Source organism: Homo sapiens, chromosome 15 (assembly GCF_000001405.40).
Source record: "Homo sapiens chromosome 15, GRCh38.p14 Primary Assembly".
Taxonomy (NCBI): Eukaryota; Metazoa; Chordata; class Mammalia; order Primates; family Hominidae; genus Homo; species Homo sapiens.
Genome location: NC_000015.10, coordinates 40,133,151 through 40,154,722, shown reverse-complemented (window position 1 = coordinate 40,154,722; position 21,572 = coordinate 40,133,151). Strand labels below are relative to the sequence as shown.

The following is a 21,572-nucleotide window of genomic DNA, read 5'->3' as shown; positions in this document are numbered from 1 at the left end:
TGTGTAGATGAATCACCCGGGGATCTTGCTGAAAGGCAGATCCTGATTTCTAGGTCTGAGTGGGGCCTGAGATTCTCCGTTTCTAATGACCTTCCAGGCATCCTTCAGGCTGCTAGTTTGAGGCCCACAGGTTATGTAGCTAGGCCCCACAATACAAATGTGCTTGTATTTTCTTTTATGGAGGGGCATTGTCTTTTGGGGAAACTTTATCTGCAGAATTGGTTGAACTGGGAGTGCTACTGGCATCTACTGGGCAGAGGCCAGTTATTCTGTTAAACATTCTACAAGGGTCAGGGCAGCCCCTCACAACAAAGAATTCCCCAGCCCAATGTGTCAGTAATGCCGAAATTGAGACACCCTAGCTTAGGTGAAATTTCAAAACAATGTGAAATACATTTGTGGACAATCTTACTTCACTGCAAGTTGGGGACTCCAGCCACAAGGCTGTGAACATGTGTCATTGACTGAGGTTCTGGTCCCTCTAGGCATAAGCAAATTCAGCCAGTTAGGACTTAGAAGCACTGGCTCAGGTCCTGGTGAATAAACTGTGGTAGTAGGTGTGATCCTTCACAAGCCTCACACAGGCTCACGGTCTCATAGCTCACACAGTTTAAGAGATCAATATTTTTATTTATTTATTTATTTATTTATTTGGGACAGAGTCTCACTCTGTTGCCCAGGCTGCAGTGCAGTGGCGCAATCTCACTGAAAGTTCTGCCTCCCGGGTTCATGCCATTCTCCTGCCTCAGCCTCCTGAGTAGCTGAGACTACAGGCGCCCGACACCATGCCCGGCTAATTTTTTGTATTTTTAGTATAGACGGGGTTTCATCGTGTTAGCCAGGATGGTCTCGATCTCCTGACCTCACGATCTGCCCGCCTCGGCCTCCCAAAGTGCTGGGATTACAGGCGTCACCCGCCACGCCCGGCCGAGATCAAAATTTTTAAATAATCTAGGCTGATGGCCAGGCTCAGTGGCTAACGCCTGTAATCCCAGCACTTTGGCATGCCGAGGCAGGTGGATCACTTGAGCTCAGGAGTTCGAGACCAGCCTGGGCAACATGGCGAAACCCCGTCTCTATTAAAAATACAAAAATTGGGCCAGGTGCGAGGGCTCACGCCTGTAATCCCAGCACTTTAGGAGGCCGAGGCAGGCAGATCACGAGGTCAGGAGATCGAGACCATCCTGGCTAACACGGTGAAACCCCGTCTCTACTAAAAATACAAAAAATTAGCCAGGCATGGTGGTGGGCGCCTGTGGTCCCAGCAACTCGGGAGGCTGAGGGAGGAGAATGGCGAGAACCCAGGAGACGGAACCTGCAGTGAGCTGAGATGACGCCACTGCATTCCAGCCTGGGCAACAGAGTGAGACTCCCTCTAAAAAAAAAAAAGAAAAAAAAATACAAAAATTGGCTGGGCGTGGTGGCTCAGGCCTGCAATCCCAGCACTTTGGGAGGCTGAGGCAGGTGGATCACCTGACGTTGGGAGTTCGAGACCAGCCTGACCAACATGGAGAAACCCTGTCTCTACAAAAAATACAAAATTAGTTGGGTGCGGTGGCGCATGCCTGTAATCCCAGCTACCAGGGAGGCTGAGGCAGGAGAATCACTTGAACCTGGGAGGTGGAGGTTGTGGTGAGCCCAGATCGCACCATTGCACTCCAGCCTGGGCAACAAGAGCAAAACTCCGTCTAAAAAAAAAACCAAAAACAAAACACAACAACAACAATTAGCCGGGCATGGTGGCACGCGCCCGTAGTCCCAGTTACTTGGGAGGCTGAGGCAGGAGAATCACTTGAACCCAGCCAGGAGGTGGAGGATTCAGCAGAGGTTGCAGTGAGCAGAAATCAGGCCAGTGCACTCCTGCCTCAGCAACAGAGCAAGACTCTGCCTCAAAAAAAAAAAAAAAAAAAACCTAGGCTGGGTGTGGTGGCTCATGCCTGTAATTCCAGCACTTTGGGAAGTTGAGGCAGGTGGATTGCTTGTGTCCAGGAGGTCAAGACCAGCCTGGGAAATATGGCGAAACCCAATCCCTACAAAAACTAAAAAAATAGCTGGAGATGATGGCATGCACCTGTAGTCCCAGCTGCCCAGGAGACTGAGGTGGGAGGACCACTGGAACCCAGGAGGCCGAGGCTGCAGTGAGCTGAGATCACACCACTGCACTCCAGCCTGGGCGACAGAGTGAGACCCTGTCTCAAAATAAACAAATAAATAAAATAATAATAATCTATGTGGAGTAGCAGGATAACAGATAGAGGGATAGAACGGACGAGGTGCACATAGGTACATGTGGGTCTGCTTCATATTTTAGTTCTAGCCCTGGGTGGTAGTTTGTGTTTCTTATATTATTTTGAAATAAATAAATAATTAAACACAAATAAGCACAAAGATGGGCCAGGCCTGGATCAGTAAAAAGAGAGGATTATAGACCAAAGACTGTGGTTCATCCAATGTACCTGAGGTGTACAAAAAAGTGAATTACTCATGATGATGACTAGTAATAAATTAATACCATTCTACTCATGGCAAAAATATCTATGAGGGGGAGCGCACATGACAGGTTATGCAAAAAGGCAAAAGTATGCACCTTGGGAAGAATGCCACTCGCCTTGTGTGTGACTTTCTCCCCTGCATGCCGTGGCGGAGGAAGGGTCTGGAAGGTACAGGCTAAATGAAAAAGTGACAGGCTCTTCCCTCTTTTGTTCCATTTCAGCCATGCAGGGACCCTAAGGTCTGTCCCGTGGGGTATCACTGTGGAAGACAGATGGCCGCAGGCCACACACTGACAACCTGGCCAGAGGAGTCTCCCATCAGGTCCTCTGGCCACCCTGATTGGAGCAAAGCATGATTTTTTGCTCCACCCCTGCCCCAATGCCCCTCTGCAACACACAGCCTGGCTCGTTCATGTTCAGCTATTCTGCTAGACAGACATGAACAAACGAATGGCACTTTCTTTGGCACCTTTCTGTGCCCCCATAACTCCCCACTGTCCTTATGTCACCTACATTCCAGTTACTCAGGCTCCCTGTCTCCTGTTGCAGGATCTCAACGAGTCCCAGAGTAACTGGACGGTATATCTCACTTCAGACTTTCCTATCCACATTAAAGCTTCTCTCTCTACGCTTCACTCCCTCAAGAAAATTCACTCTAAGACCTGCTAATCATAACACCAGAGATTTTTCCTCAGTGATGCTGATGGAATTCTTATTTGAATAACGTCCTCATATGGTGCATATACAATTTAACAGAGAATATCTGGATAGCTAATGCCTCAAACCAAATAAATAACTCCAGAAATGGGAGTTCTGTGGTTCACGGTGGGAGTTAAAAATCACCAAATGTCAGAGCGAGAAGGGGTCTTGGAGATGTTCTAGTGCAACTCTCCCAATTGACAGATGAAGTACCCAGGTTCAGAAAAGTTATTTGCCCAAGGTCACCCAGTGTATTAGGATAGAGAGCACAACCCAACTCCTATTCCTTTATTTAGTCAATCAGTTGCTCAGTCAACAAATCTTTATTGAGCATTTGTGGGGTTTTTTGTTTTTGTTTTGTTTTGTTGGAGACAGGGTCTTGCTCTGTTGCGCAGGCTGGAGTGCAGTGGCATGATCATGGCTCACTGCAAAGTCTACCTCCCAAACTCAGGTGATGCTCCTGCCTCAGCCTCCCGAGTAGCTAGGGCCACAGATGCACACCACCATTGCAGGCTTTTTTTTTTTTTTTTTCTGTAGAGACAGGGTCTTGCTATGTTGCACAGGGTGATGTTGACTGCCAGGCCTCAAGCAATTCTCCTGCAACAGCCTCCCAAAGTGCTGGGATTACAGGCATAAGCCACCGCGCCTTGCCCTTATTGAGCATTTGTTATTGTTATTTTATGTCAGGCACTAACTGGGCAAGGGATCACAAATACAAACAAGACAGAATTTCTGTCCCCAAGTAGCCCCTGGTCTAGTGGGTGAGGACAGCCTTGTGTGGAAAGATAATTGCAACACAGTGGGGTCAGAGACTTAGCAGGAGTATCATATGAAGCCGGGGCACGTGGAGGAGGGAGAGAGAAATGCTAAGGTGGCTGTGGAAGATTTCCAGAGGAGTCTTCTGACTGTGTCTAGGGTTTGTCTCTACACCTTGTGGTCTTGATCATTCTCACTAAAGTGGGGAACTGGGCATGAGGTAGTTTTAGGGACAGTGTATCCCTAAAACCTATCTCTGGGTACAGACACGGCTCTCCACCAGCTTGTCTCAGTTTCTGTTCACTGTCACATTGTACACAGGCTGCCTCCCCAGCCTTCGGAAGCTTCACTGCAGCTGTTAGTATTCATGGCCTGCCCAAAACCAATTCTCCCTGCTCTCCTTTGTTAACAGAGTGAGTGGTTGGGATGGCAATGTGCCAGGAGTGCCCCGAGCAATGAGTCATGATTTGCCCAACTCAGTCATGACAAATGTGTTCCCCGATTTCTCGGCCTCCCTTGCATCCAGGAGTAGTCCTGTGATCCAGGTATGACCCAAATGGAAGTCTGGAGAAGACTGGGGCAGAAGAGACATGGTTGGCATGGCCCTTTTGCCCTTCTTCCTACTTTGAAGATAGGTGGAATGTCTAGAGCTGGGCAGCATCTTGTGGCCATGAGGTGAAGGCAGAAAGACAAAAGCCAACAGGTTAAGGGAAAGGAGAGTGGAAAGGGAGAGCCTGGCTTTATGACAGCATCATGGAGCTTTTGCACCATCCTGGAACTACCACCCCCAGACTTCTCATAATGTGGATAAAAAGACCTATTTGCTTAAGCCACTGTTTGTAAGGCTCGCTGTTATGGAAGCCAGATTCATTTCTAACGGAGACACCATCTGTATCATCAGGGTCCTAGCAGGAAACCAATGATTCACTGTCCGTGAAATAAATAAATGAAGGGAAAATTTACTATGGAAGGGATGGGATTAAAGGGAACAAACATGGATAGTGAAGAACTTAGAAACTGGCAACAAGGGGAAGCTGCTACCCCTAGTTCTGATGGGAAGAGAGTTAAGATTTGCTCCTGGAGCCCATTGAGAGACTACAGCAATGAGAGAGCCTGACAAAAGCTGTGTCAGGAAGGCAGCCACTGGCAAGCATGGCACCACGGGAGCGTTAATGACCAGTCTCCCCTCCCGCCTTCTGATGTCCTGCCAGGGACCCCCACTGGCCAAACCAACTGGAAGTCAGAGGAGAAAAGAAATGATGGGCACAGTGCTTCCAGGACACTGTTGAGAGAAGAGCGGAGGGTAAATCAGGTGGGGCAAGTGGGGAAGACACAGCACACCAACCAGTGCATGTTTCTAACTCACATCCTTGCTGTGGGGTGATGCTATTGATAACAATGGGTTTGCTTTGTAAGATGGCCCCAGGACTAGAATCTTGTTCCTTCACCACCCGCACGGATAATAAGGAGTCTGTAAGTCATCCGGTGTTCCTTATTTCACTTGACTGCTAGGAAGTTAGATGTGAAAAATTGCACATGGCTATAATAATGACCCCCAATTCACATTTTCTGGAATAACTGTCACCCCATTTTTATTATGTGCCTCTTATTCATTTATGCTTGTTTGAATGATTCTGTCATTTCTTTTTCATTTGCTGTAAATTGTCTCATTCTTTTTGGAAATAATTGGAGTGTAAACAGTAAATCTTAACATAGCGATATCAGTTAGGATTAGGTTTGGCTGTGGTAGACAGACAGACAAAATAACCATGGCTTCAATAAAACAAAGGCCAACTCTCTCTTAAGTGAATGTCTGCAGGTAGGCAGGCCTTGCCTGGCATGGTGGTTCTGCTCTACAAAGTCCTTAGGAGCGCAGTTCTCAAGGGTGCTCAACTGTCAGTTGCAATTTGGCCTTCTTCTCAACTATCTGCCACGACCAGCCAAAAGCTCAGTGGAGGACTCTTCAGCTAAGCAGAGGCACCAGCCCCGGTCCTCACCCACCATCTTGACTTGGGCATTGTCACACCTGCTGCAGTAAGAGCCCTCCCGGAGGCCTAGGGACCCTCTGGAAACTTGGAACATAGGAACATTTCAGGTGTGGAATAAAGTTAGCCTCCCACCTTGGAGAGCAGTGTGTGATGGTGAAGAGAGACAGGGAAGTTGAGGCCCCAATTAGCATACATGAAAGGAGGAAAATGTGGCTCATTCAGAGGTGTCTTAGTCTGTTTGCTGCTACTATAACAGAATACCACAAACTGGGTAACTTATAAAGAAGTTTATCTGCTTTGTGGTTCTAGAGCCTGGGAAGTCCAAGAGCATAGGGCTCTTGGTTGGGTCTTGGCATCTGGTTAGGTCTTTCATGCTGTATCATCCCATGGTAGAAGGTGGAAATGAGAACCTGAGACAGAGGAGATGGGGCTGAACCTATCATTTCACCAGGAAACCACTCCCATGATGATGAACCCACTTCCGAAGGTATTAATCTATGAATGAGACCAAAGCCCTCATGATCTAATCACCACTTAAAGGTCCCACATTTTAACACCATCACAAGGGCAATTAAATATCAACATGAGTTTTGGAGGGGACATTCAAACCATGGCAAGAGGCAAAGGCCCAGATTGAGATCCCATGGGAAGGCAAGTCTGGTATGTAATTCCCTGGGATATAACCTCGTCAGATACCTGTAACTGAAGTATGGTAGAGCTAGCCCGCAGGTAAAGAAAGGCAGCGTGCAACCATAGAAGTAGTCAATGAACAGTGTTATTGTAGTTTTAATTAAAATTAGTTAATTTACTTTGCCTTGGGGTAGTGTCCTGGCCTTCCCGAGTTCAGATTCAGCACTATACAGTCCTTGCTGCCTCCTCAGCCGCATCCCATGAGGGGAAAGTGTAACTTCATGGTGCAAATATTCTGGAAGTGGGTGCCCTGTCCCAAGCCCTGCTCCTTCCCAGCAAGGGGCTTTCAGTCAGCTTTAGAACAGGCCTGGCTGGAGCTTGGGTGCAGTCAAGGGGCATCTGCAGCCATCTCAGATGTTGAGTCAGCCCCAGAGTGCCTCCAGTTCCCTTCCCTACCCTTCTGGAGCTGCCCTGGGGCCAGGCTGAGCTTCTAGGGCTTCTAAGAAGAGTGATCTCCCCACAGGAACCCGATTCCTACCTGTACTTGATCCTGGAGGTATATCTAGAATGATTCGGAGCAGAGGAGCGGCAAAGAAGGAAGGCCCCACAGGGCCAGGACAGGGGCTCAGCAACCCCACCTCTTAGCCTTGGTGGTCAAAGTCTTGGAGTTACACTGGGGTGACCATAGAAATATTGTCTGAAACAGGATAGTTTGGGTAGTGAAAGGGGAACCTCTAATAGTTATGCTCAGATAAAAGTTATATATTATGTAATGGGACCGTCCTAAGCAAATCCAGACACATGGCCTGTCTAAGTTTTGGGGGGCGGTATCCATCGGACCCCACTCTTGCTGGCCTTCCATCACTCTAGGGATGGGGTCACACTCCAGGTTAATTTCCACCATTCTCAGCAGCCAAGTGCCCCGGCCTTCCTTCTGGTTCTGCTCCTTGGGGACTGGATCTCCAGGCACACAGCCCTGCCTACTGGCCTCTGAGAATGGCCTGAAAGCTGATCAACCAGCCTTCCTCACCCCTGACCCTCCACCCCAGGCAGAAGCTGTACCCCTTTTCTCTTTATCCCTGCTGCCTTGCTGAGGGCTTCGAGGCGGGTTTCTACAGGGACTGGGGAGCAGTCTATACTAGGGGTCTAAGCTCCAGAGTAAGGGGAGCACGATGCCAGAGTTTGAGTTTGGGGTGTTTCCTTACCATAAAGAGAAAGTGTTGGGCCACAAGAAGGGCCTACGAACTCTAAAATCCCATGATTCTCTGATCCGGCCCGTGATGGTTAACACCGAGTGTCAACTTGGCTGGATTGAAGGATGCAATATTGATCCTGGATGTGTCTGTGAGGGTGTTGCCAAAGGAGATTAACATTTGAGTCAGTGGGCTGGGGAAGGCAGAGCCACCCTTAATTGGGTGGGCACCATCTAATCGGCTGCCGGTGAATATAAAGCAGGCAGAAAAAAGTGAAGCAGCGAGATGGGCCCAGCCTCCCAGCCTCCATCTTTTGCCCGTGCTGGATGCTTATGGCCCTCGAACATCAGACTCTAAGTTCTTCATTTTTGGGACTTGGACTGGCTCTCCTTGCTCCTCAGCTGGTAGACAGCCCATTGTGGGACCTTGTGATTATGGAAGTTAATACTTAATAAACTCCCCTCTCTCTATATGTGTATACATATATAACACACACATATATATCTCTCTCCTTATTAGTTCTGTCCCTCTAAAAGAACCCTGATGAATACACTGCTCTGTGCAGATACTGAGTGAGGGGCCTGACTTAGCCCTGCATCAGGGAGGTTTTTAGATTTAAGATTGTACCCAAATCTATACCCATCAAAGCAGACCTGATTGAAAAGAAGCAGGCAGAGCCCTCTACTTAGAAATGACAAGAATTCAAGACAAGTCATAATGAGTCATGCTCTTGCTTGCTGCTCGGCCCTCTCTGCATTGCCCTTTGTAAGAAGAGTCCACACCTGAACCGGTACTCAGGGCCTATTTCTCCGAGGTGCCCCACAGCCAATCCTGGGCCTTCTTTGCCTACAGTAAAACACCCACATTGCCCATGCCAAGACTGGGCCATGTCTCTTCCCCTTCAGCAATTGCCATCAGAATAAAGCGAAAAAAAGAAAGGATCCCAGTAGCGTATTCTTCTGGGTTGCATGGACACTGGCTTCATCTACACTTCTCTGAGTTTTGGTGTAGCCCAACTCTCTCTCTTACCAAATGGCCTTACTCACTAAATCTGTCAAGTGTCTACCAAAATCATGCATTTTTTATTGAAACCGGTGAAATTCTTCCTCTGTTGTCTTTCCACCACCCTTTGGGCACTGCTCACCTTCTCCCCCATGCTGTTTTGTATGGATTTTAAGCCAAAGGAAGACAGGGACCTTGTCTTGGTCATCTCTGATTCCCCTACCATGATAGTCAAATAGCCTTGATAATCAAAATGTAGTTTTCTGTGTAACAAGATCTCCGGGCAATTCATTAGGGTTTGAGCAGCACTGTACTAGGCACTCAGCACAGTGCTCTTCAAGTGTTTGGCCGAGCCAGGGAAGTGGGTATGGTTAAAGGCAATGCAGATGGTTAGTGGCAATGCACTTTTTTCTTTTTTGAGACAGAGGCTTGCTCTGTTGCCCAGGATGGAGTGCAGCGGTGCACTCATGCCTCACTGCAGCTTCGACTTCCTGGGATTGAGAGATCCTCCTGTCTTGGCCTCTGAAGTAGCTGGGACTACAGGCACACGCCACCAGGCCCAGCTACTTTATTTTTTATTTTTTGTAGAGACAGGGTCTCACTATGTCACCCAGGCTGGTCTTGAACTCCTGAGCTCAAGTGATCCTCCTATCTTGGTCTCCCAAAGTGCTGGGATTATAGGCGTGAGCCTCTGTGCTCAGCTGGATCAATTGTTTTTTAATATCCAATTTTGTTGCCTCTGTTGACCTTTTGTGTGTGTGTGTGTGTGTGTGTGTGCGTGCGTGTGAGAGAGAGACAGCATCTTGATCTCTTACCTAGGCTGGAGTGCAGTGGCACAATCACGGGTCACGGCAGCCTCAACCTCCTGGGCTCAAGCAATCCTCTTGCCTCAGCCTCCCAAGTAGCTGGGACTACAGGAATACACCACCATGCCTGACTAGTTTATTTTTTATTTTTTGTAGAGACTGGGTCTTGCTGTGTTATCCAGGCTGGTCTCGTACTCCTGGCCTCAAGCAGCCCTCTCACCTCAGCGTCCCAAAGTGCTGGGATTATAAGCGTGAGCCACCACATGCAGCCTCTAGTAGCTTTTTAGCTATACCTCTTTGTTTTATTTTTAATAATTGCTCTAGGGATCATAGTGTGCATCTTTAACTTGTTAGAGTTTATTTTGGGTCTACATTATACCACTTCACAAATAATTTAAGAAAATTCCATTTTACTTCCATTTGCCCCTTCCATCCTTTGACTATTATCTATTCTACTTGTGTGCATGTAATAAGTCCCATAATATATGGTTGTTATTTGTGTTTTTAAAAGCCAATTGTCATTCAAAATAAATTAAAATAGTCTTCTATATTTACCCACATACTTACCATTTGCAATGCTCTTCATTCCTTCTGGTAGATCTGAGCCTCCAACTGCTATCATGCTATCTTTTCTCACTAGCCTGAAGAACTCCCTTTAGTATTTCTTTCTTTTCTCTTTTTCTTTCTTTCTTTCTTTCTTTCTTTCTTTCTTTCTTTCTTTCTTTCTTTCTTTTCTTTCTTTCTTTTTTCTTTCTTTCTTTCTTTCCTTCCTTCCTTCCTTTCTTCTTTCTTTTCTCTCTCTCTCTCTTTCTTTCTTTTTTTTTTTTTTGCTTGCTTGTTTCTTGTGATGGAGTCTCCCTACGTTGCCCAAGTTGATCTTGAACTTCTAGGCTCAAGTGATCCTCCTGCCACAGCCTTCCCAGTAGCTGGGACTACAATTGCACCCAGCTTTTTTAGTATTTCTTGAAGTACATGTCTGTTGAAAATTATTTCCCTTAGCTGTTGTTTATCTAAACATATCTTTATTTCTGTTTCATTTGTGAAAGCTATTTTTCTTGGACAGAGAATTCTATATTTTCTGGTTTTCTTTTCATGTATGTCATTTTATTGTCTTCTGGTTTGCATTGTTTTTAAAGAGAAGTTAGGCATCATTTTTATCATTGTAATGTTCCTTTTTTCTCTGGCTGCTTTTAAGATTTTCATTTTATCTTTGGTTCAACAACTTGACTGTGATGTGTCTAGATGTGTTTTTCTTTGTATTTACCCCACTTGGGGTTTGACGACCTTTTAAAATCTGTAGGTCTGCCAGGTGCGGTGGCTCATGTCTGTAATCCCAGCACTTTGGGAGGCCAAGGTGGGCAGATCACTTGAGGTCAGGAGTTCGAGACCAGCCTTGCCAACGTGGTGAAACCCCGTCTCTACTAGAGATACAAAAATTAGCTGGACATGGTGGCGCACACCTGTAGTCCCAGCTACTTGGGAGGCTCAGACAGGAGAATCGCTTGAACATGGGAGGTGGAGGTTGCATTGAACTGAGATTGCGCCACTGCACTCCAGCCTGGCTGACAGAGTGAGACTCTGTCTCAAAAAAAAAAAAAAAATTAGTTTAAATCTGTAGGTTGATCCTTTTTGTTACATTTTAAATTTTTCACTATTATTTCTTCCTGTAGAAAAACAATTGGTGCTATTTGTTCTCTTTCTGAGACTGCAATTACACAAATCTTAGGACAGCTGCTGTTATCCCACAGGTCACTGTACTGTGGTCATTAATTTTTTTCTCTCTTTTTATCAGTTTGGATACTTTTGATTGGCTTGTCTTTAAGTTCATTGATGCTTTTTCTGTGGTGTCCAATTTGCTATTAAGCTCATCCAATGAATTTTATATATATATATATATATATATATATATATATATATATTTAGTTCATATATATATATATATTTAGTTGTAGAATTTCCATTTGGTTCTTTTTTAGAGTTTACATTTCTTTACTAAAATAACCCTCTCTTCAACCATCATAGCTATCTTTTCCTGTGAACTTTAACATATTCATATTAATCGTTTTAAAGCTTTTGTCTGCTAACTCCAATAACTGGATCATGTGTGGATCTGCTTCTCTATTTTCTCTTGATTATGGATCACATGCTTCTTTTCCTTACTCTCCTGTTTCTCAAAACTGTATTCCAGAAATTTTGTATAAAAGAACAGTAGAAATGAAAATATATCTTTTTGTTTACTTCTCAGAAATTGCAGTTCCTTTCCCCTGTCTGGTGGTTAGGTTGAAGCTGATCACTGGGACTCCTCGGACAGTGGAATTGAGGTAAGGCTGCACTGCAGCTTTAATTAGATTGTGTTCACCTGTAAGTAGCCCAATCCCAAGCTTCTGCCTCCTTTTCAAGTTGTCAGTAATTGAGCTGGGTGGGGGTAGCGTACAGATTCAGATCATTTTGATTCAACTTTGGACTCTACTCCAGCAGGGCCCCAGAATCTAAGCAGGACCGTGTCATTACTCTCTGCTTTCCAGCCCCTTCTCCAGTGCCACAGTTGTGGCAAAGTTCAGGAATGGGGGTGGGTGGAGAACAGAGAATTATCGGCCTAAATGACCTGCTTTTATATTGGGCCTCTTCCAGATTGTCATCTGTCTTGCCAGCCCATGCCGCAGCTCGCTGATTTCTTCTTATCCTTACAAAACCCCTGCCTATGGCATGTTTCTCCATCCACCTGTAGCCAGACCAGGCACATCCTCAGGTGTGAAAGCTGTGCTGACCTTCTGCTCATCTATAAAGGGCTTGTTTCTTTGTGGAATTCAACTCATCAAGGCCATGCCTGCACTGCTCAGTAGAAAAGCACGATTTTTATTTTTGTCTAGGTTTTTCTTGTTGATAGCATTGTAGCAAAGGCTTTTCATATATTTCTACATCCTAACCAGAAGCGGAGCTCTCCCAGATGTTAGAGGAGCAGTAAGGAGGTCAATGTGTCTGGAGCAGAATGAGTGAAAACAGGAAGAAGAGATGAAGCTGGAGAGGTGACCAGGAGTCAGTTCATGCTCAATCTCACAGGCCACTGGAAAGATTGGCTTTTACTTTGCATAAGATGGGAAGTGATGGCTTTTGAGCAGAAGAATGACAGGGTCTTGTATGGGTTTTAACAGGAGCACTGTGGCTGCCGGGATGAAAATAGTCTGTAAGAGGCAAGGGAAGCAATAGAGGGATCAGTTATTGCAACAATCCAGGGAAGGGATGGTGGTAGCTTAGATTGGTGTGGCCATGGTGGAGTGGTGAGTCTGAGTACATTTTGAAGGCAGAGACAGCAGCGTTTATTGACAGATGATATGTAAAGTATAGGGAAAGAAGAGGATGACTCTAAAGTTGTGGTCTGAACAAGCAGAAGGATGGAGTTTTCTTACTCAGATGGAAAGACTGAGGAGAGTCAATATCTTGGACCATTTGTGCTGCTATAATAAAGTACCACAGACTGGGTCACTGATGAAGAACCAAAGTTAACTTTCTGACAGTTCTGGAGTCTGGGAAGTCTAAGATGAAGGCGCTGGCACTTGGCAAGGGCCTTCTTGCTGCATCATTATATGGAGGAAGGCGGAGGGGCAAGAGAAAGCAAGAGTGGGTCAAACTTGCCCTTTTATAATGGCACCAGTTCTACCCATGAGGTTGGAACCCCCATGGCCTAATCACCTCTTAAAGGTCCTACCTCGTAAGACTGTTACAATGGCAACTGAATTTCGTGAGCTTTGGAGAAACATTCAAACCACAGCAAGTAGGTTTGTGGGAAGTACTCTTTCTTTTTTGTTTTTTTGAGACGGAGTCTCGCTCTGTCGCCCAGGCTGGAGTGCAGTGGTGCGATCTCAGCTCACTGCAAGCTCTGCCTCCTGGGTTCACGCCATTCTCCTGCCTCAGCCTCCCGAGTAGCTGGGACTACAGGCGCCCACCACCACGCCTGGCGAATTTTTTGTATTTTTAGTAGAGACGGGGTTTCACCGTATTAGCCAGGATGGTCTCGATCTCCTGACCTCGTGATCCGCCTGCCTCAGCCTCCCAAAGTGCTGGGATTACAGGCGTGAGCCACCGCGCAAGGCCAGTGGGAAGTACTCTTATTTTATTTTATTTTATTTTTAATTTTTAAATTTTTATTTATTTATGTATTTATTTATTTATTATTATTATACTTTAAGTTTTAGGGTACATGTGCACAACGTGCAGGTTTGTTACATATGTATACATGTGCCATTTTGGTGTGCTGCACCCATTAACTCGTCATTTAGCATTAGATATATCTCCTAATGCTATCCCTCCCCGCTCCCCCCCACCCGACAAAAGTCCCCAGCGTGTGATGTTCCCCTTCCTATGTCCATGTGTTCTCATTGTTCAATTCACACCTATGAGTGAGAACATGAAGTGTTTCGTTTTTTGTCCATGCGATAGTTTGCTGAGAATGATGGTTTCCAGCTTCATCCATGTCCCTACAAAGGACATGAACTCATCCTTTTTTATGGCTGCGTAGTATTCCATGGTGTATATGTGCCACATTTTCTTAATCCAGTCTATCGTTGTTGGACATTTGGGTTGGTTCCAAGTCTTTGCTATTGTGAATAGTGCCACAATAAACATACGTGTGCACGTGTCTTTATAGTAGCATGATTCATAATCCTTTGGGTATATATCCAGTCATGGGATGGCTGGGTCAAATGGAATTTCTAGTTCTAGATCCCTGAGGAATCGCCACACTGACTTCCACAATGGTTGAACGAGTTTACAGTCCCACCAACAGTGTAAAAGTGTTCCTATTTCTCCACATCCTCTCCAGCATCTGTTGTTTCCTGACTTTTTAATGATCGCCATTCTAACTGGTGTGAGATGGTATCTCACTGTGGTTTTGATTTGCATTTCTCTGATGGCCAGTGATGATGAGCATTTTTTCATGTGTTTTTTGGCTGCATAAATGTCTCCTTCTGAAACTATTCCAATCAATAGAAAAAGAGGGAATCCTCCCTAACTCATTTTATGAGGCCAGCATCATCCTGATACCAAAGCCTGGCAGAGACACAACAAAAAAAGGGAATTTTAGGCCAATATCCTTGATGAACCTTGATGCAAAAATCCTCAATAAAATACTGGCAAACCGAATCCAGCAGCACATCAAAAAGCTTATCCACTATGACCAAGTGGGCTTCATCCCTGGGATGCAAGGCTGGTTCAACATACGAAAATCAATAAACATAATCCAGCATATAAACAGAACCAAAGACAAAAACCACATGATTATCTCAATAGATGCAGAAAAGGCCTTTGACAAAATTCAACAACCTTCATGCTAAAAACTCTCAATAAATTAGGTATTGATGGGACGTATCTCAAAATAGTAAGAGCTATCTATGACAAACCCACAGCCAATATCATACTGAATGGACAAAAACTGGAAGCATTCCCTTTGAAAACTGGCACAAGACAGGGATGCCCTCTCTCACCACTCCTATTCAACATAGTGTTGGAAGTTCTGGCCAGGGCAATCAGGCAGGAGAAGGAAATAAAGGGCATTCAATTAGGAAAAGAGGAAGTCAAATTGTCCCTGTTTGCAGATGACATGATTGTATATCTAGAAAACCCCATCGTCTCAGCCCCAAATCTCCTTAAGCTGATAAGCAACTTCAGCAAAGTCTCAGGATACAAAATCAATGTGCAAAAATCACAAGCATTCTTATACACCAATAACAGACAAACAGAGAGCCAAATCATGAGTGAACTCCCATTCACAATTGCTTCAAAGAGAATAAAATACTTAGGAATCCAACTTACAAGGGATGTGAGGGACCTCTTCAAGGAGAACTACAAACCACTGCTCAATGAAATAAAAGAGGATACAAACAAATGGAAGAACATTCCATGCTCATGGGTAGGAAGAATCAATATCGTGAAAATGGCCATACTGCCCAAGGTAATTTATAGATTCAATGCCATCCCCATCAAGCTACCAATGACTTTCTTCACAGAATTGGAAAAAGCTACTTTAAAGTTCATATGGAACCAAAAAAGAGCCTGCATTGCCAAGTCAATTCTAAGCCAAAAGAACAAAGCTGGAGGCATCACGCTACCTGACTTCAAACTATACTACAAGGCTACAGTAACCAAAACAGCATGGTACTGGTACCAAAACAGACATATAGACCAATGGAACAGAACAGAGCCCTCAGAAATAATGCCGCATATCTACAACTATCTGATCTTTGACAAACCTGACAAAAACAAGCAATGGGGGAAGGATTCCCTATTTAATAAATGGTGCTGGGAAAACTGTCTAGCCATATGTAGAAAGCTGAAACTGGATCCCTTCCTTACACCTTATACAAAAATTAATTCAAGATGGATTAAAGACTTACATGTTAGACCTGAAACCATAAAAACCCTAGAAGAAAACCTAGGCAATACCATTCAGGACATAGGCATGGGCAAGGACTTCATGTCTAAAACACCAAAAGCAATGGCAACAAAAGCCAAAATTGACAAAAGCGATCTAATTAAACTAAAGAGCTTCTGCACAGCAAAAGAAACTACCATCAGAGTGAACAGGCAACCTACAGGATGGGAGAAAATTTTTGCAACCTACTCATCTGACAAAGGGCTAATATCCAGACTCTACAATGAACTCAAACAAATTTACAAGAAAAAACAAACAACCCCACCAAAAAGTGGGCGAAGGGAAGTACCCTTTATTCATCCGAGTAGAGATGTTGAGTAAGTTGTATATATGAGTCTGCAGTTCAGGAAGAGAACTCAGCTAGGCTTATTCATTACTTTTTCTTGTATGAGAAAGTGAATGGATGTGATAAATGCCATTAGTCTGGTTTTACATCGTAATAGCTAACTTTCACTGAGTGCTTACTCTGTGTCAGGAACTGCACTATGTTCATACATTGGTTAACCCATTCAAACCTCACAACAAATCCAACCGTTAAATTCTATTACTATCATCCACAAAACAAAGGTGTTATTAGTTTGCTAGGGCTGCCATTACAAAATAGCACAGAGTAGGTGGCTTAAACAATGGAAATTAATTTTCTCCCAGTTCTGGAGGCTGGAACAAGGTCAGGGGGTCAGCAGGTTTGGTTTCTCCTGAGGCCTCACTCCGTGGCTTGTGGATGGCCGCCTTCTGACCGTGTCCTCATGTGGCCTTTCCCCAGTGCATGCCCCATGAATGATTTTGCTTAATCACTGATGAGATACACTGCGGTTTGTCCCATGATGGCCACCAAATATGTACTGTGTGAAGCCCCTCCCATGAGAGAGGGAAATGGAGGGAAGTTACAGGGGCAGGTTTTGGTCCATGTCTTTGGTCACAGGAAGAAATCCCTTGCGGCTACATGGTACACCAGAGAAGCTGGAGCTCCTCCTAGGGGAGGCCACAGCCTCTTTCTCCAAAGCGGTTTTCTAGCAACAGCTTCATCTTTTTTTTTTTTTAACCTTTTTTGATAGAGATGAGGTCTCACTGTGTTGCCTAGGTTGGTCTCAAACTCCTGGGCTCAAATGATCCTCCTGCCTCAGCCTCTCAAAGTGCTAGGATTACAGGCATGTCCCACGATGCCCAGCCTACAGCCACATCTTAAGAAGGCCTTCTGGATAGTCCAAAGAAAGGATTCCAGTTGTGAGATCTACAGGACCCAGCACAGGCTGCGGGAACCCAGGGGTTTGGGGCTCCATCTCAAGCCATTCCAGTGGACAGTGCTGTGAAGAGAGAAGGTGAGCAATGCCAAGTGGCGTCTCTGGCCTGAGGGTCATGACGGATCCAGAGACCTTGCCCACAGTTGGGCTCTGCCCTAGGGAGAGCAGGTGACTCAGAGGCTAAATTGGTCCTTGAGAGTGGAATTTGGGGCCAGAGTATAGGGCGGCCCAGACTCCCCACTTGCCCAGCAAGGCTGAGGCCCAGCTGTAGATCCTGCCACACCTACTGTCCCCTCCCACTTCTTCCAGGCATTGCCTGGCTTCTGAGGCAGAGTTCTGAGTGACAGCTCATTAGATGCAGAGAGCCAGTGGAAATCCACACTTTAGAACAATCTGTCTGGCTTTGTCTGGGAGCCAGGCTGGTCAGCAATGGCCAGAGGACAAAGGGCTCTGCAGACATGGGAAGAAAACAGCATGCAACTTTGATGGTGCACTTTAAAGGCAGGTGTAATGAATCGGGGCCAAGTGTCCCCACACTCCCAGATCTGTCCCTCTTCCTGTCCCCTTGGAGATTTCCTTACAAGGCTCCATGCTGTTGGCATGCTCCTGCACGTCTGCCCCACTGCTGTGGGGATTCTCTTGGTGTGTGTGTGGTGGCGGAGGGGGGCTATGACCGAAGATGTACGTGTCCAGCCTCTTTGTCCCAGGCTGGACAGCTCTCTGAAGATCCTCTGAGGCTCAGGCAGGGAGTGAATGAGCCATGGCCTCCCCTGGATATCTGGGAGGAAGGAGCAGGAGTTGAGAGGGGAGAGAGTTCAGAGGTATTAGGTCTCTGAGGCACTGGGCCTCTGCCCTTTACTTCAGGAAGGTCCCAGAACAGTAACTGCATCTGGGCTGCAGCTACTGTCCTGTCCTTGGGCCCTGCCCTGCTCTACCCTGTGGTCTGCAGCTACTGACCTGTCCTGGGGCCCTGCCCTGCCCTGCCCTGTGGTCTGCAGTGCTGACCTGTCCTGGGGCCCTGCCCTGCCCTGCCCTGTGGTCTGCAGTGCTGACCTGTCCTGGGGTCCTGCCCTGCCCTGCCCTGTGGTCTGCAGTGCTGACCTGTCCTGGGGCCCTGCCCTGCCCTGCCCTGCCCTGTGGTCTGCAGTGCTGACCTGTCCTGGGGTCCTGCCCTGCCCTGCCCTGTGGTCTGCAATGCTGACCTGTCCTGGGGTCCTGCCCTGCCCTGCCATGTGGTCTGCAGTGCTGACCTGTCCTGGGGTCCTGCCCTGCCCTGCCATGTGGTCTGCAGCTAATGACCTGTCCTGGGGCCCTACCCTGCCCTGCCCAACCCTGTGGTCTGCAGTGCTGACCTTTCCTGGGGTCCTGCCCTCTCCTGCCCTGTGGTCTGCAGCTACTGTCCTGTCCTGGGGCCCTGCCCTGCCCTGCCCTGTGGTCTGCAGCTGCTGTCCTGTCCTGGGGCCCTGCCCTGCCCTGCCCTGTGGTCTGCAGCTACTGTCCTGTCCTGGGGTTCTGCCCTGCCCTGTGCTGCATTCCTGCCATCTGCTTCCCACAGGACAGCTTGTAACACTGGGGTTGATTGCAGTCACTAGTGGGTGCCAGAATTAATTCATAGTTTACGTTTGCTTCTAAATGTATGAAAATAAGCACAACATCTGTGTCTATTCCAAGAGGCCTGAGGTTATTTTTATTCAGATTCCCAGGCTGGCAATGTGGGGTCTCTGTGGGCTTTCCAGAGGGCCTGGGGCATTGAAAAGATGGGACCATTTCCTTTGTAAGGACAACAACCCATTTTCCCTGTACTTCTCCTTCTTCTTTAGAAATTCAGCCCTAGATCCTGTGAGGGGATGGAGAAATGTGAACCCAAACCCACAAAGGAAGCCTAGAAGAAAGTCCAGAGCGGTCACAGGAATGGGTCCAGCCCATGAGACGCTGTCTTCCCTGTGAAGGAGCAGAGGTCACAGGATTGTCATATTCATCTTTACAATAGTAATTTCAGAATTAAAATCAAATTTATTTTCTGCTACTTGAGTTTCTAAGTTATGCACTGGAAAAGTAGGTAGTAACTAAAAGTGGATTCAACCACAAATTCGCTGCAGCCCTGGTGGGGGAATTATCAGAGAAGTATTTAACATGTAAATCTTACCCTGTTTTTAACTAGCAATAGCTCCGAAAGACAGTGACACTGAGTGGCATGTTCACTAGAGGTTCTGGGGGGTCAGAGAGGAGGCTCAGGCAGCTGACTGATCACAATCCTGCTACTCCTTCCCTTGTTTTACCCGCGCAATTATCCTCGTAATTGCCCACGGACTTACTTCGTCCTTACTTTTCTGCCTAGCAAATTCAAACTACGAGCAAAACCACAGCCGAATCATATTACTCTCTCGAGGACTTCAAACTTGACTTCCACTAATAGCCTTTTGATGACTTACAGCAAATCTCACCAACCTTGCCCTACCCCCCACTATTAATCTAATAGGAGAACTCCTTGTAACAATGGCTTCATCCTCCTGATCAAACATTACTATCATGCTCATAGGACTTAATATATTAATCACAGCCATTTATTCCCTCTACATACTTGTCACAACACAACGAGGAGCACTTACATACTATATTAACAGCATTAAACCATCCTTTACACGAGAAAATATACTAATATGTATACACCTTTCACCCATTGTCCTACGATCTCTAAATCCTAAAATTATTATAGGATTTCTAACCTGTAAATATAGTTTAATCAAAACGTTAGATTGTGGGTCTAATAATAGAAGCCTTCAACTTCTTATTTCCCAGGAAAGTACGTAAGAACTACTAACTCAGGCCCCCATGCCTAACAACACGGCTTTCTCAACTTTTAGAGGATGAGAGTTATCCATTGGTCTTAGGAACCAAAAATATTTGTGCAATTCCAAATAAAAGTAATAACCATGTATTTTTCCATTACTATAATAACCTTAATCTCCTTAACCTTACCAATTATTATTGCCTTCACCAACCCTGGTAAGAAGAACTCGTATCCATATTACGTAAAAAGCTATCTCAAGCACTTTCGCCATTAGCCTCCTTCCGGCAACAATATTTATGTGTACAGACCAAGAAGCCATCATCTCAAACTGATATTGAATAACAATCCAAACCCCAAAACTCTCATTAAGCTTCAAACTAGACTACTTCCCAAATGTTTATTCCAGTAGCACTATTTATCACTTGATCTATTATAGAATTCTCATATGGTATATAAAGTCAGATCCAAACATTAATCAGTTTTTCCAATATCTACACATCTTCCTCACCACAATATTAATCCTAGTTACCGCCAACAACTCTTTCCAACTTTTTATTGGATGAGAAGGCGTAGGAATTATATCTTTTCTATTAATTGGCTGATGGCATGGCCGAGCAGATGCTCACACGGCAGCCCTCCAAGCAATTCTATATAATTGCATTGGTGATCTTGGCTTTATTTTAGCTATAGCATGATTCCTGTCATCCTCCAATACATGAGAGCCTCAACAAATACTGATCCTAAACACTACCCGGATCTTCTTCCATTAATTGGTTTTCTCTTAGCAGCAGCAGGAAAATCAGCCCAACTTGGCCTCCACCCGTGACTTCCTTCCGCGATGGAAGGCCCAACCCCAGTCTCAGCCCTTCTTCACTCTAGCATGATAGTTGTCGCAGGAGTTTTCCTACTGATCCGCTTCCACCCCCTAATAATTCTCATCGCCCGCCTCCCTGCGATGTGGATCATAATATCCAGCGGGGGAGAAGGGGGCGATATTACTCCCCGCATCCTCTTGCTATGTGTCCACCCTCTTGCTATACATAAGGAGTATATCACCCTCTCCCCTCATGTATATTAGGAACAATTTCACAGGGTGGGTGTACACAGCCTGCGATATTGAACACAATATCGTTTTCTTTTCCTGAGGTTATAAGAACAATATCACAAAAGGGGTGTACACTCCCTGCGATATTAGGAGTAATATCATCCTGTGTTTCCCTGAATATTCAGAGCATTATTACAGGTTGGGTGTACACCCACTGCTATATTGGGAGTAATATGACAGTGTAACCCCTAGAAATTAGGAGCACTATCACAGGGGGTGTGTACAGAAACTGTGGTATTGGAAGTAATATCGTGCTGTCCTCCACTAGTTATTAGGAACAATATCACGGGGGGTTGTACACCTTTTGTGGAATTGGGAGTAATATCATCATCTCTTCTTTTAGATATTATAAAAAATATCACGGGGGGGTGTACATCCCCTGTACTATTGGAAGTAATATCATTCTCTCTTTTTCTAGATTTGACGAATAATATCACAGGTG

The 21,572-nt window shown here is 45.7% G+C and overlaps 2 pseudogenes, besides 1 other annotated feature; one reads left to right on the top strand and one right to left on the bottom strand.

Moving 5' to 3' along the window:
• Positions 17,303–18,077: an enhancer, noted in NCBI's record as "H3K27ac-H3K4me1 hESC enhancer chr15:40428847-40429621 (GRCh37/hg19 assembly coordinates)". NCBI's record gives its function as "activates a minimal SCP1, AML or CMV promoter by ChIP-STARR-seq in naive H9 embryonic stem cells {active_cell/tissue: H9 hESC(naive)}" and the evidence as "EXISTENCE:reporter gene assay evidence [ECO:0000049][PMID:30033119]".
• On the top strand, positions 19,509–19,955 carry MTND4P37 (MT-ND4 pseudogene 37; annotated as a pseudogene).
• Positions 20,180–20,952, bottom strand: MTND5P37 (MT-ND5 pseudogene 37; annotated as a pseudogene).